Source organism: Homo sapiens, chromosome 22, assembly GCF_000001405.40.
Source record: "Homo sapiens chromosome 22, GRCh38.p14 Primary Assembly".
NCBI classification, from domain to species: Eukaryota; Metazoa; Chordata; class Mammalia; order Primates; family Hominidae; genus Homo; species Homo sapiens.
Genome location: NC_000022.11, coordinates 31120862 through 31134740, shown reverse-complemented (window position 1 = coordinate 31134740; position 13879 = coordinate 31120862). Strand labels below are relative to the sequence as shown.

At 55.4% G+C, this 13879-nt stretch overlaps 1 protein-coding gene across 18 annotated transcripts; it reads right to left on the bottom strand.

Moving 5' to 3' along the window:
• Nucleotides 1-43: 43 nt before the first annotated feature.
• INPP5J (inositol polyphosphate-5-phosphatase J) lies at nt 44-12127 on the bottom strand. Of its 18 annotated transcripts, none has more exons than NM_001423476.1 (15): nt 11622-11775; nt 10736-10845; nt 10478-10599; nt 8731-9896; nt 8252-8365; nt 8020-8128; nt 7704-7820; nt 7209-7384; nt 6679-6790; nt 6418-6527; nt 6087-6270; nt 1506-1643; nt 1258-1335; nt 1027-1131; nt 44-828 (listed from the first exon to the last, which is right to left on the bottom strand). In NM_001423476.1, the coding sequence occupies exons 4-15, from the start codon at nt 9798-9800 to the stop codon at nt 322-324; spliced, it is 2820 nt and encodes a 939-aa protein (NP_001410405.1). In that variant the 5' UTR covers nt 9801-9896; nt 10478-10599; nt 10736-10845; nt 11622-11775; the 3' UTR covers nt 44-321. The 18 variants fall into 18 exon arrangements, with proteins under 18 accessions (NP_001410405.1, NP_001271218.1, NP_001410402.1 ...); NM_001284289.2 differs by lacking the exon at nt 10736-10845 and having other exon boundaries at nt 8731-8908; nt 9835-9896; NM_001423473.1 differs by lacking the exons at nt 10478-10599; nt 10736-10845 and adding an exon at nt 12065-12127 and having other exon boundaries at nt 11622-11818.
• Between the last annotated feature and the right edge of the window lie 1752 nt (nt 12128-13879).

Here is a 13879-nt window from a genome sequence, read left to right as displayed (position 1 = left end):
ACCACCATCCCAAGACTACTAACAAGTAGGAAAGAGCCGAGAGTGAGGCTGGAGAATTTAATTCCTAATGGATGACCTCCAGGATTGGGACATCTGCCAGAGCTCTCCCATCATCCCAGATGGGGGCCTGGGTGGGGCTTTGCTGATTGTCACAGTTGAGGTGCCAGGACTGAGTTTTGGGGGACCCCAGTTGTCCACCCCTGGCCAGGACAGAGAGGCAGGTGCAGATACAGCTGGAGGAGCAGCAGGAGAGAGGCAGGTGGGCTTGCAAAAGATTGAGGCAGAATGGTGGTCACCTTGGCCCATCTGCCTACCCCACCCTCAGGGCCCCAGGCCCCCTTCCTCCAGCCCCCGATGGCCCTGGGGACTAGGAGACAGGCTGTTGGGCGCCAGGGCCTCCCGATCAGGTCCCCAGGAGCCACCACCACCAGGGTCTACAGTCTCTAGGCGCAAGGCGGGCAACAGGCCCAGGCTTCGAGGCACAGCTGGTGGGAAGGCCCAGGGGCCAGGCAACCCAGAGGGCCCCTCTTCACTACTGCCCCGGCTGCTGCCATTACTGCTCCTGTCAGGAGCCACTCGGGACAGGCGGCGGCTCTGGGGTGAGGGGCTACGGCTGGCACCACGGCGTTCACGGGATGAGGGCCGTAGGGCAAGCCCAGGGAACCTGGCCAGTCCCGGGCTGCGGCTGCGGTGTCGCTTGGACTTGCCAGGACTGGGGCTGCGGGACTTGGGTGCAAGGAGCTCCAGTGTGCTGTCATCCTCTCCCTCTGAGCTGGTGCCTGAGCTGTCTGTGCTGCTGCTGGCCAACTCCGAGGAAGGCAGCGAGATCTGGGGGAAATGCTGGTCACTGGGGCGCCCTGCTCCCCAACCCAGCCACTGAGGCCTGACCTCCCGAGGTCTGCCTCTCTCGTTGGCAGATCTTGGGAGGTCAGGTTATTTGTCTGAACTCAAGGAGCAGAATGTAGAGGCTGTGGCATTTGACAAAAGTCTTTAGGCACCCCCAGCCCAGCAGTCTGGCCTACTTACCTGGAAGGGTTCAGTGATGCCGATGAGGATGCTGTGGTTGTGACTATAGTAGCCCAGGATGAAGTCTCCATGGCCCTTGGGCAGTGATTCCTCACTGAATGTTACCTGGTAGGCCCAGGGGTATAAGCCTAAGTTGGGGGTCAGGGAGGCCACCTGAGAGCCCCCAAGGTGAGTTCTGAGGTCCCAAAGGCAACAAGGACTTGCCCTGACTCTCCCACTCCTTTTAAGTACCTGGTAGGTATTCCCATCCACATCTTCATGTTTGGCCCAGACATAAGCCACATAGTCCTTGCAATGGCGGAAACCCACCTGGGGGATCAGTGTTGTGGAATCAGTGTTGTGACCCTATAATGTCTGATCCCAGCAGTCTCCCAGTGTGGCATCAAGATCTGGACAAGCCAGTGACCCCACCATGCTGTTCAGCTGCTCCTCCAGGCCCCTTTCTTCCCTGAGTCGCTGACCACCACTGCCCCTCTCACCCGGTATAAGCCGATCCAGTCCCAGGAGCTGCGGGCGAACACTGTTTCCATGCGGTACCTCACCACCGCCTGCTCGGGCCGCACCCACTCATCTGCCACCTCCAGCCGCACCAGTGGCATGTCGTCCCTGAAGGCAAACTGTCCAGGCAAGGCAGGGGCAGGGGGCCACATCAGGGGAGACCCTCTAGTATCCCACACACTTAAGGCTCTTGGGTCTTAGCACAAATTGCCTGAGACAAAGGGCCACTTTACAGACTGGGAAACTGAGGCAGAACAGGTCTAGTATAAATACCAAGCCCTGTGCTGCCTCCCAGCCCAGGGTTCCTTCTGCCCACAGCCTCCTTAGGGAGTGAGTGAGAACATAGCTTTGAAGCTAGCAAATCCTGGATTTGGCTCTGGTTCTGCCGTTGACAGGCTGGGTGAGTTCCTCAGCCTCTCTGAATGCCAGGGCCCTCATCTGTAAACTCAGAGACTCTTTTTTTTTTTTTTCTTTTTCTGAGATGGAGTCTCGCTCTGTCACCCAGGCTGGAGTGCAGTGGTGCAATCTCGGCTCACTGCAACCTCCACCTCCCGGGTTCAAGTGATTCTCCTGTCTCAGCCTCCCCAGTAGCTGAGACCACAGGTACCGCCATCACGCCTGGCTAATTTTTGTATTTTTAGTAGAGGCAGCGTTTCACCATGTTGGCCAGGCTGTTCTTGAACTCCTGACCTCAAATGATCCACCCACCTCAGCCTCCCAAAGTGCTGGGATTATAGGCATGAGCCACCGTGCCCGGCCAAACTCAGAGACTCTTATTTTACTCTTGGAGTTGTTCAGCAGATTCAGTGAGACACCATTTGCAAAGCATCCCATAAATTTCCCAGTATACCAGTAAGTGCTCAATAAATGATTTGTCTCTATGCTAGCAAGGAAGACCAATAAAATCCTATGATGCACTGGGTATTTGGGGTAAGCTGAATATTCCTGAGCAGGCAAGAAGAGCTCTGCGTGGGAGGATGGAGACCTCAGTCCACTTCCAGGCTCTACTGCTAACTCGCTATGTTACCCCAGGGCAGGCTCTAACCATCCCAAGGTTCAGTTTCTCCAACTGAGTCTAAGTACTAAGCGGTTACTAACTATTACCTTGTCATCAGTCCATGAAGGAAAGTTATAACCACGAGTATCCTTTCCCCAAGGTCAACCCAGACCCACCAGGGGCGCCACCTGAATGGGTGGAGCTGCTGAGGTGGCAGGCTGCCAGGATATTGACCCCACCTCTGTCCCTCAGGGAAGGACTGAGTTGTTGCCAACACCAGATCTTTGTCTGATCCCCTGTTTACCTAGTTTCAGGTTTCCCTCCCTCAGCTTCCGAGCCAATCTGTTCCAGAAGTAACTGGCACATTCTTTCCCTGTTCCTGTGTTCCTAACAGCAGGGGCGGGCAAGGGTAGACCTTTGAAAATGCCCTCCAAGGCCTTGCAGCATCAAAACCCCTACTGAGCCCTATTCTGACTGCATTGCCTTGGCTAAGAGACTTAAGTTCTCTGAGCCTCAGTTTCCCTCACCAGTAAAACAGAGAGGAAAACTGGGACATCTCAGGGCCTACTGAGGCATTCAAAAGGATGACATATGTAAAGTGCACTACACAGGCCTGGCATGTAGTAGGTACTCAATGGGAATTTTTTTTTTTTTTTTGAGACAGAGTCTCGCTCTGTAGCCCAGGCTGGAGTGCAGTGGTGCCATCTCAACTCACTGCAACCTCCGCCTCCCGGGTTCAAGCAATTCCTCTACCTCAGCCTCCCGAGTAGCTAGGACTACAGGTGCGCACCACCACACCCAGGTAATTTTTGTATTTTTAGTAGAGAGAGGGTTTCACTGTGTTGGCCAGGCTGGTCTCGAACTCCTGACCTAGTGATCCGTCTGCCTCAGCCTCCCAAAGTGCTGGGATTACAGGCGTGAGCCACTGCACCTGGTTGGGAAATGTTTTTAAAGGGACAGAGTCCTGGAGGAGGTGGGAAGGACAGGATGGGGTGTCAAAAGGAGTGATTTTTCAGGTGAGGTCCCTAATTGTGGGTTAAATCTTCATGCCCAACACTTTTGCCAGAGGTCATGGCAGGCCAAGCGTGGGGATATTTCCATTCCCAGCTAAAGATATTGGCCAATGTCCCACTGACTGGCCATGTGACAAAGTTACCAGGAAAAACATTTTCTGGCCTGCTGGGCTCCCTCTTATCAGATCAAGAGACTTGAAGAGCCCAGAGTTGGGTTTCAGGGCTGAAAAGATGGGATCTACCCTGCTCTGCCACTGCAGAGCCTGTGTATGGTTTGGGGCATGTGCCTACCCCATGAGGAGCCTCAGATCCCGCCACAGAAAAAAAGGGAGTGGGCCAAATTGGTCTCACAGGTCTGGTTCTGAGATTCTAGGATTTCCCATTTTGATGTCGGCAACCAGGAACCTCAATCCTAAATACAATATAAATTATAGTAACTACTTAAGAGTTCAGCTTTGTATTTTTTATATCTTTGCTCTCCCTCCCCATCACTACACACTCTCATAATGCTTGGCATATGGTAAGACAGTTAAGTACTCAGTAAATAACGAATGAATGAATATGAATGAATGTTACATGGAGTTTGATTTTGCTGGTCTTATTATATATGTGAATTTTTATATCTTTTCTTTGTTATTTTTAAGACACTAGTAGTGAAAATGATGATGCATATGTGAATTTTTTTTTTTTTTTGAGACAAGGTCTTGCTCTGTTGCCTGGGCTGGAGTGCAGTGGTACGATCACAGCTCACAGCAGACTAGATCTTCCAAGCTCCAGTGATCTTCCCACCTCAGCCTCATAAATAGCTGGGAATACAGGTGTGCACCACCTAGCTAAATTTTATTTTTATTTTTATTTTTTCCCTGAGACACAGTCTTGCTCATGTCACCCAGGCTGGAGTGCAGTGGCACGATACTGGCTCACTGCAACCTCTGCCTCCCAGGTTCAAGTGATTCTTGTGCCTCAGCCTCCCAAGCAACTGGGATTACAGGCATGCACCACTGCGCCAGGCTAATTTTTGTATTTTTAGTAGAGATGGGTTTCGCCATGTTGGCCAGGCTGGTCTCAAACTCCTGGCCTCATGTGATCCGCCCACATCAGCCTCCCAAAGTGCTGGGATTACAGGCGTGAGCCACTGCGCTCGGCCTTTTTTTGATTTTTTTTAAAGACAGTGTCTCACTGTGTTGCTCAGGCCGGTCTTAAACTCCTGAGCTGAAGTGATCCTTCCACCTCAGCCTCTCAAAGTGTTGAGATTACAGGTGTGAGCCACTGCGCCAGCCTATAAATGAATTTTAAGATAAATTACTCTAAACCTTTCTCAGAAGACAGGAGTTAGAGATTAGCAGAAAAGGCACGGGCTCTAAGGCTGGGTGTGGTGGCTCACACCTTGTAATCCCAGCACTTTGGGAGGCCGAGGTGGGCAGATCACCGGAGGTCAGGAGTTCGAGACCAGCCTGGCCAACATGGCAAAACCCCATCTCTACTAAATACAAAAATTAGCCAGGCGTGGTGGCGGGCAGCTGTAATCCCAGTTACTCAGGAGGCTGAGGCAGGAGAATCACTTGAACCCAGGAGGTAGAGGTTGCAGTGAGCCGAGACCACGCCACTGCACTCCAGCCTGGGCAACAGAGTGAGACTGCATTAAAAAAAAAAAAAAAAAAAAAGGGCGCCGGGCACAGTGGCTCATGCCTGTAATCTTAGCACTTTGGGAGGCTGAGGTGGGTGGATCACCTGAGGTCAGCAGTTCAAGACCAGCCTGGCCAACACGGTGAAACCCTGTCTCTACTAAAATACAAAAATTAGCCGGGCATGACGGCGGGTGCCTGTAATCCCAGCTACTTGGGAGGCTGAGACGGGAGAATCGCTTGGACCCAGGAGATGGTGGTTGCAGTGAGCCAAGATTGTGCCACTGCACTCCAGCCTGGGGCGGCTGAGCAAGACTCCGTCTCAAAGAAAAAAAAAAAAAAAAAAAAAGTTGGCCAGACACGGTAGCTCACGCCTGTAATCCCAGCACTTTGGGAGGCCAAGGTGGGTGGATCAGGAGGTCAGGAGTTCAAGACCAGCCTGGCCAACATGGTGAAACCCTGTCTCCACTAAAAATACAAAAATTAGCCTGGCGTGGTGGCGGGTGATGTAATCCCAGCTACTCAGGAGGCTGAGGCAGGAGAATCACTTGAACCCGGGAGGCGGAGCTTGCAGTGAGCTAAGATCGTGCCACTGCACTCCAGCCTGGGTGACAGAATGAGACTCTGTCTCAAAAAAAAAAAAAAAAAAAAAAAGAAAAGGCATGGGCTCTGAAACCAGACTCACTTGGGTTCAAATCCTAACTGTTCCTCTTACTAGTTGGGTGACCCTGGGCAGGTGATGCCATGTGTCTGAGCCTCAGCTTCCTCATCTGAAAATGTAGATTGCAACCCCATTTCCACTGTTACAACAAATGGATGCTGCTGAGGGCAGGTACAAGGGGTTATACAAAGGGTAATGGTGAGGGGCAGTGGTATGCCGAGTTGGGCCTGGGGATTTCATGCGGGGAGGATGAGGCCAGAACTCACCTGCAGGAGGAACTGGGCAGCCACAGGCTTGTGGTCGCTGACTGTGTATTCCATGTGGCTGCGGTAGCTGTGCTGCGTCACCTGGAGTCGGTGGCTCTTCCGTCCTGAGGGGCTGGGACCCCCACCTGGAGCCTTGACCTTCCATAGGATACGGTCTGTCCAAGCTGGCTTCCGTTTCTTGGCACTGCAGTGAGCAGGGGTACCCCAAGTTTCAGGGGCTGGGGATCAAGATGTAACCCTCCACCTTGCCTCCTGCCCCTCTTCCCAAAGTCTCCCTGTTCGAGAAGACCTCAGCCCACTTCCCCTCAGTCCCTCCTCGGACTGAGCTCACCTGGTATCGTATTTGTTGGTACCCACATCAAACTTGAAGGTGGGAGCGAAGTTGAGGGGCCCCTCCTGAAAGCCCTTCAGAATGGGCCAGGTGTTCTTGGCCATGTTGAGCTGTGGGGGGTCCAGGAGAGCAGATTGGACAACAGCTTGGGCTCTGCTGTGCCCAGGGAGGGGGTGGGGCAGGTGAGGACAGGGACCATAGTCTAAGGTACAGGCGTGTCCTGGGACATGCTCTGTGTGCTTCTGGGGACAAGGACCCCACCTGGTCCTTCTCCCAGAGCTGATGGAGCTGGTCACTGTCGATGGCAAACTTGACAAAGTGCAGGTCATAGCTCTCAATGCGGAAGTTCAGGTCCCCGAACCAGAACACGAGGCTGTTTGGGGTGGGGGATGGGAGAGATGTGGGGGGCAGTGGGGGGTGTCAACAGGTCCATGGAGGATAAGGGCTCAGCCCAGATCCTTCCAGCCCATCCAACCCGAGGGGATGTAGTGAGTGGGTGAGTGGTGCCAGAGCCTCCAGCCCACCAAAGGGCAGAGGAAAAGCAGAGGGACCGGTCTACAGGAAATTAGGTTCTGACCTTCAGCAAGGCGGGGCCCCTCAGCAAAGCTCCACCCTACAAGCTCCGCCCCTCCCCATCCAACTGCTCTCTGCTTTCGTGTTCCTACAACTAGTTTGGGTGGGCACTAAACCCCATAGGCCCTGCCTCTCTCCATAAGCCCCACCCAAGGTGGTACAAAAACCCCCATCACTAGCCCCACCCAAGCTCTATTTGGCCCCACCCCAGCCCATACTCATGATCCAGGATGCCCTGTGCGCCCGGCCCTTGGAACTGCTGGAGGCTGAGGATGGTCTGGAAGTTGTCTTTGCGCTGCTCCGCCTTGTCCATATGCGCAGGCAAGTGGCAGTTCAGGAAGCAGAGCATGTGCCCGAAGGCCGCCAGGCGCACGCTCACGCCACCCTTGTTACCCTAGGGAGGCAGGGTCGGATGGCTCATGGGCGGGGCTTAGGCCAGGAGGTGAGGCACTGGGAGCGGGGGTTAGAGAGGAGATGTGGGTGGAAGGTGGGTGGGTCCTACAGAAATGAGGAACAACGCTGGGACACAGTGGGGAGAGAAAAGGGCGGGGGTATAGAGGAATAGGATGGGGTATTGGGTGGTGCATGGGGGGGCTGGGCCGCAGGGTAAAGGGTGGAGGATGGGAAGGGGACCTTGCTGTGCATGGGGCGGGGGGACTAATCTAAAGCCCCCTTCATGTCCCATCCTCTTCTGGGCCTGCTCACAGGCTCACCCAGTAGCCGCCCAGGCCAGTGCGCGTGCAGTCGGTCTGCACGTCTCGCAGGAAGGGCAGGTGGTAGTACTTGGCGAACAGCAGCAGGATGACACCCTGCATCCTCACCGAACTCACCTGCAGCGGGAGGCCACGTGGCTGGGGGACAGAACACAACTCCCCCGCCCTCGCGCCCACCTTCAGGTCTGCTCCTCCACCCACCCATGTCACGGACCCAGCCACAGAGGCCCAGCGGGCCCCACAGTGAGCCAGGGTACAGCTGGAGCCAGGAATTCAGCAGGGTCTCTGGCTGTCCAGGGGGTGAGGGGTGCGTTACCAGCACGAAGTTGAAGGGCCCTAGCGCATCCATGAACAGCTCACTCCACTGGTCCGTGAAGAGGGCGTCCTTGAGTCGCTTGTTGAGCATGGAGTTCACTTCCTGCAACCTGGAGGGGTGGGGGCAGGGTGGCCATGGGATTGGAGAGGTGCCCTGGAAGCCCCTGCCATGGGTGGAGGGCCCGGAAGGCCCGAGGGGCTCAGGAGGGGGTCCACATGCCCTGCCACCTCACCCTATGGCGATCATGTCTGCGCCGTCGCTGTCGTCACCACCGCCCAGGTGGAGGAGGGATGTGACATCGTCTGGGGGCATGGCAGTGCCCACGTTCCATGTGACCACAGTGATCCTGAGGGCAGGGGCATATGAGGGTGTAGTCCTGGCACCACTCCCTCACCCTCAAGCTTCCTTTCACAGGACTCCCTGGGGAACTAAATGGAGGCAGGTGTGGGCCAAAGCCCTAAGAAGGACCCACAGGAGGCCCCGAATCCTGTCCCTCTGCCACACTCTCCCTGGGGAGATCAACTGAGAGGCGGCAAGTTCCTTAGGAGGGGATGCTATCTTCTGAGCGTCACAGAGTGGGCCCAGCAACCCCCTCCCCAAAGACTCTTCCTCAGAGAGAGAAGCTGAGGTAGAGCACACCATCCACCCTGGAAGAATGGCTAACCTCAGAGCTAAGCCCCAGCCACCTTTCTTGGGAGAGGGCCCCCTCACCGGAAGCCGGGGTCGCTCTTCCAGGTAGGCTGAGCTGACCAAGGGGAGGATGACAGGGTGGATGTAGAAGAGGAGGTGGTGACTGGGGCTGGGGCTTCTTGGGCCTGAAGGTTGGGGCTCAGGCACCTGCCAGGCCCTGTACTCTGTGTGCCAAGCCTTGGGAGGGCCATGTCAGGGGCTGGGGGAACACAGGGAGAGCGATTCGGGGAGTGGCTTGGGGAACGGCTGGGTGATCGGGGTGGCTTGGGCAGAGGTGGGGGCACAGTCTGGCCTGAGGGGGCCCCAGGCCGGAAGGTGGGGGACAGAAGTCCAGGGGAGTGAGTGCCAGGCTCTGAAGGACCCTGGCCCACATCCAAGGGCAAGGTCTGGGGTGGCCGTGGCAAAACAGGATCCTCAGGGCTGCTGTGGAGGGCCTCAGGCCGGGCTCGGAAGGAGGGGGAGAGCCGAGGGTCTGGGGAGGTTTGGATGCAGGGTGGGGAGCCTGTAGGACCAGATGTCTGAGCTGGAGGCTGGAGATGCCCCTCAGAAGCAGGGAGAGGTCTAGGGGCTGGGGCATCCCTCTTTCTAGCTGATGTCTGTCCCACAGAGGCTGCGCCTGATGCCGTGGATGCTGGAGCCAGGGCCTGTTCCTGAGTTGGAGACAGAACTGGACTGGGCACCGGGGAAGGGGTGGAGGGGAGTTCTGGGGGCTGCTCCTCAGAAGCCAGGGCCAGGCTCAGGCCAGAGGCTGCCAGTGTTGGCTTGGGTCCCACGGAGGCAGGTGGCTCCTGCTTCTGGTCTCTGGAGGTTGGGGCCAGATTGGGCCCCAGGGTGACTGGGGGAGATCTTGGCCCTGCTGAGGCAGGCATCACCAGCCCCAGGGACGTCGGAGCCAGAACTGAGCCTGTGGTCGCTGGGGGAGGCTTTGGTCCAGCTGAGGCAGACATCACCAGCTGGCCCACAGATGTTGGGGCCAGGCTGGAGCTGCGGTGGGCAGTAGCTGTTTTCTGCCCTTCAGGGGTACACAGTGGAGCCAGGATTGGTCGGGGAGATGCCAGAGCCAGCCTCGGTCCTTCCGAGGAAGCTGACATAGCTGCCCGTGGCCCTACAGGTGCCAGAGCCAACCTTGGTTCCGAGGGTCCTAGGGCTGCGTTCTTCTTTGCTGGGAGCTGAAAACTTGAGTCCACCTTGTGGAGGACAAGTCAAAGATTCAGAGTGACCCTAACCAGGGCATTGGGCCCCAACTTCCATATAGACCCTGGCAGAGTTCATCTAGCTAAGAAAGGCACATCTTTCCAAGGAAGTTCTTCCTACTATCTCACTTCAATCTATTCTGCTGCAGGTCAACTTCTGTCTTGGAGGAGATAGGACACAAAACCCTAACCCCTCCTTTAAGTCTGAAACCTCTTTCACAGATGGGGAAACTCAGACCCTGACTCAAATGAGGCAGAGTGTGAACCTAAACCTGAGGACTTGCCTTGCCTTCCTGGCTGGCACCCACACCCTGCCCATTCGGGGCAGCTTCCCTGGGCAACCCTCCCACTGCAGTCCCTGAAGCTCCCCCAGCCACGGCTACTGACCTGACATCCCAGGTCTGGGCACACTGGGGACAGCCTGTTTCTTTTCTTTTTCTATTGTCAAGATACAGACCTACAGGTGCAGCTTGTTAAATACCTCTCCCTTCCTTCATAATGCCCAGAAACCCTCAGTTCCCCACCGCCCCCTAAACATCCAAATCCCTTGGTTACAGCCCTCTCTGTTCTCTTACCCATTCCCAGAGCTCCACTCAGGAGCAAGAGCTGGGAGCTGAGACTGGCTGTGTAGATTCAAAGCCCAGCTCTGTGTGACCTTAGGCAAGTACCTCTCTGCCCAGCGCCTCAGTTTCTCTGTCTGTAAAATGAAGGGATGGGGTCTAGGGTTCCTGGCCACATTATATTCTGGGGAATCTTCATCTCCCATTGTCTGCATTTATGAGCCCAACATTTGCTAGAATTCCATCTAGCCCCGTTGAATAGTCCATCCTCACCAAGTGTGAATCTAGCATTCAGAGCAAGTCCAGGATTCTAAGTTGATCCTGGTGTCACATCTCTCTGTGCCCAGGTTGTGCCCTCTTACATCCTCCACTTTCTCCCCTACCTGAAAGGACAGGCAAGCAGGTATCCCATTTATGTCCGGCAGGTGGGAGGGGTGGGGAGTCACGGAGTCCTGTAGAGACCTATCCTCCTTCCCCATCTATTCTCTCTGATGTCCCCTGTCTCCAGAAGACAGGATAAAGTGTCCTTCACCAAGGAGGGCAGAAGAATGTCTATACTTGCCCCAGGATGGCCCTAGGTAGGGTAACAGGGCGCAGGGAGGCCCTGCCTCTGGAGACGCACTTCTGTTTCTGTCCCGTATCCTTCTCAGTTCAGAGTACCTAAAACTCCATCTCCACCTCCCTTCTCAAACTCAGTTCTTTGAGGTGGCATTTTAGGCACCCTCCTTGGCTCCAAGTGTCACACTGTGTGCCGGCTTCCCCCCAACTATCACACCGCCTCCAGTACTAACAACTTAGCCATCCCAGATGTCACAGTTTTAGTCTTCAGCGACAAGCCCCCTCATTTTGCATTGGCTCAGAGAGGAAAAGCAACTTGGCCAAGGTCACACAGCAAAGGTGGAGCACAGCTGGGTCCTCTGATACCCAGTCCAGGACTCTCCCAAGGGCTCCTGGAGATGGCTAACTTCATCTGTCTCCGGGCATCCTGTCACTGCCCCTCAGCCCCCAGGGTGCTCTCTTCACCTAGCCCCTGCTCGCTGAGCAGAGGAAAGTACCAGCCCCTCAGTCAGGAGCACCAGGGAGCCTGCAGTGTATGTGGGGGGGGTGTGTGGAACCAGGGATCAGGAAAGCGGGGGGCACTGGGTCTCAGGGGTCTTACCTTGGAGGGTGCCCCAGTTTGGGCAACACCCTGGGGCATGGGCAGGGAACCCAGGCCAGCCCGGGTCCCTGGCCTCCTGCTGCCCCTGCTGCTCTGGCCCTCCATGTCTGCAGCCCCCGGCAGCCTGGACTCCCTTGGCTCCGGCTCCAGCTCTACCGCTCCCGGGAACCAGTGATGTCATCAGCCATTTCAACCTGCTGAGAATTTAAAGGCACAGGCTCCCACTTCCCAGCCTGGAAGAGGCCGAAGCAAGGTGGCTACCCCCTGGGAATCCTTCAAACTGGCTGCTGAGGCTGGAACAGCCATGGAGTGGGGAGGGGAGAGTGTACCCATCTGCCTGGCCCAGGTCCCAACTGGCAGCAGGAAGGAGGCTGTCTGTCTACCTTCACCTTTCTGCCGTAGGCCTGGTCAGCCCTTTGCTCCAGGGAGGGGCATTAACACACCTGCCTTAAGGTAGGACAGGTGGTTCAGAGGTCTGCACCCTCTCCAGGGCCTCAGAGACAACTGAGTTCTTGCCCTGATCCTGTGACCTTCCTGGCTCCCTGCCAGCTCAGAGCTTGCCCCGGCCCCCACCCTTGCCCCATTTTCAGGTCTTGGTGCCACCCTCTCCACTCCTACTGCCAGTCCCAGGCTCTATTCTTCCCAACCCAGAACCAGACACTCAGGCTCCAGCCACTGCAGTCTTTTCCCATCTCAGGCCTCAGCACCAGCCCCTCCTCTTCTGCAGACACCTAGCTGCCCTCAGATGTCCCCACAGCCAGGCCTAACCCAGCCCGGCTTCTGTCAGCTTTCTTCTCTCCAGTATTCACTGGGTGTGGTTTGGGAGGGGAACTTGCTCAAGGTCACCTGGTGAACTGAGAAGGTCTCCTGTGTTTCAGTGAGAAAACTTAGTGACCTAGGATGAGCACAAGCCCTTCGAGCTATCTGGGGGAAGGGAACTTGGGTGGAGAAGGGCCCAGCAGTGGGGTAACAGACTGACAAGAGAGTTACAAACAGGCCTGAGAATTGCTACAGCCAGGACCCAGCCCAGGACATGGTCCCCAACAGGCCTACGGGAGTGTTTGTTGAATGAATAAATGAATTAGAAGAGTGAATGGGTGATGAGGGTCAGATTGGGCTGGGATGGCTGTGGGATCTGTTTCTCATGGCTTAGAGAGGAGTGATCCCACCCACTTTAGGCAGAAAGTGTTCAGAGTTGTGTGTGCAGAGCTCCCTGTTAACCAACATGGAGCATCTGCATGGGCCTGTGCAGTCTCCTACATGAAGGCAGATGCCTCACTTTCCTCTCCTGAAGGCACTTCCTACCTCTGCTTGACTGTCAGTAGGTCTAGTCTGTATTCTCAGGCCAGCATCTCTGCTGGAATTTGCAGGGGCAGAGACTCAGGCCATATTAGAGTGTTGGGGTAGAAAGGTCTTTGGACAGCGATAGTGGAGATGGTGACAGTGGTGACGGGGAAGGCGACTGTGGTGATGGATGTGATGATGTATGTAACTGTGATGATGGAAGTAGGGGGCTAGCAGTGGTTGTGGTGAAGGTGGTGGAGGTGATGGTGATGGCAAAGGTAGAGGTGATGATGATACCAATACTGATGATGGTGTTGTGTCAATGAAAGAGGTAGTGTTGGAGTTGGAGGTGACAGTCAGGGAGGATGTGAGAGTAGACCTGGTGGTGATGCTCAGGTTACCAGAAAAAGGAAGATTCGAACTCATCCTGTCTTATCCTCTGTCTCCTGTTTTACAAATAAGAAAATGGGAGCCCCCGGGCTGGGGGAGTACTGGCAAAGTGCGGGTAATCCCAGCACTTTGGGAGGCTGAGGTGGGCAGATCACCTGAGGTCAGGAGTTCGAGACCAGCCTGGTCAACATGGCGAAACCCCATCTCCACTAAAAATATAAAAATGAGCCGGGTGTGGTGGTACATGCCTGTAGTCTCAGCGACTTGGGAGGCTGAGACAGGAGAATTGTTTGAACCTGGGAGGTGGAGGTGGAGGTTGCAATGAGCCAAGATCGTACCACTGCACTCCAGCCTGGGTGACAGAGAGAGGCCCTGTCTCAAAAAAAAAAAAAAAAAGAAAGAAAGAAAAGAAAAAAGAAAAAGAAAATGGGAGCCCCCAAGACTACCCAGCTTTTCATGCAATCCTAGAGGGAATGATGGGCAGATCCAGGCCTCTGGGACCAGTCCTAAGGCTCAGCCATCTAGGGCTGGGACAGGGGCATCAGTGCCCTTTGGAAGCCAGGCAAATGTCATGCAAATGTGTC

Bases quoted from the DNA above. Each gene is read 5' to 3' on its own strand.
- INPP5J (NM_001423473.1), bottom strand. From the start codon at position 11,726: ATGGAGGGCCAGAGCAGCAGGGGCAGCAGGAGGCCAGGGACCCGGGCT. The intron at 6,791-7,208 runs GTATGGGCTGGG...CACCCCAAACAG, and splicing joins CAGGGCATCCTGGATCATGA to CCTCGTGTTCTGGTTCGGGG. The intron at 1,132-1,257 runs GTACTTAAAAGG...TGGGCCTACCAG, and splicing joins TGGATGGGAATACCTACCAG to GTAACATTCAGTGAGGAATC.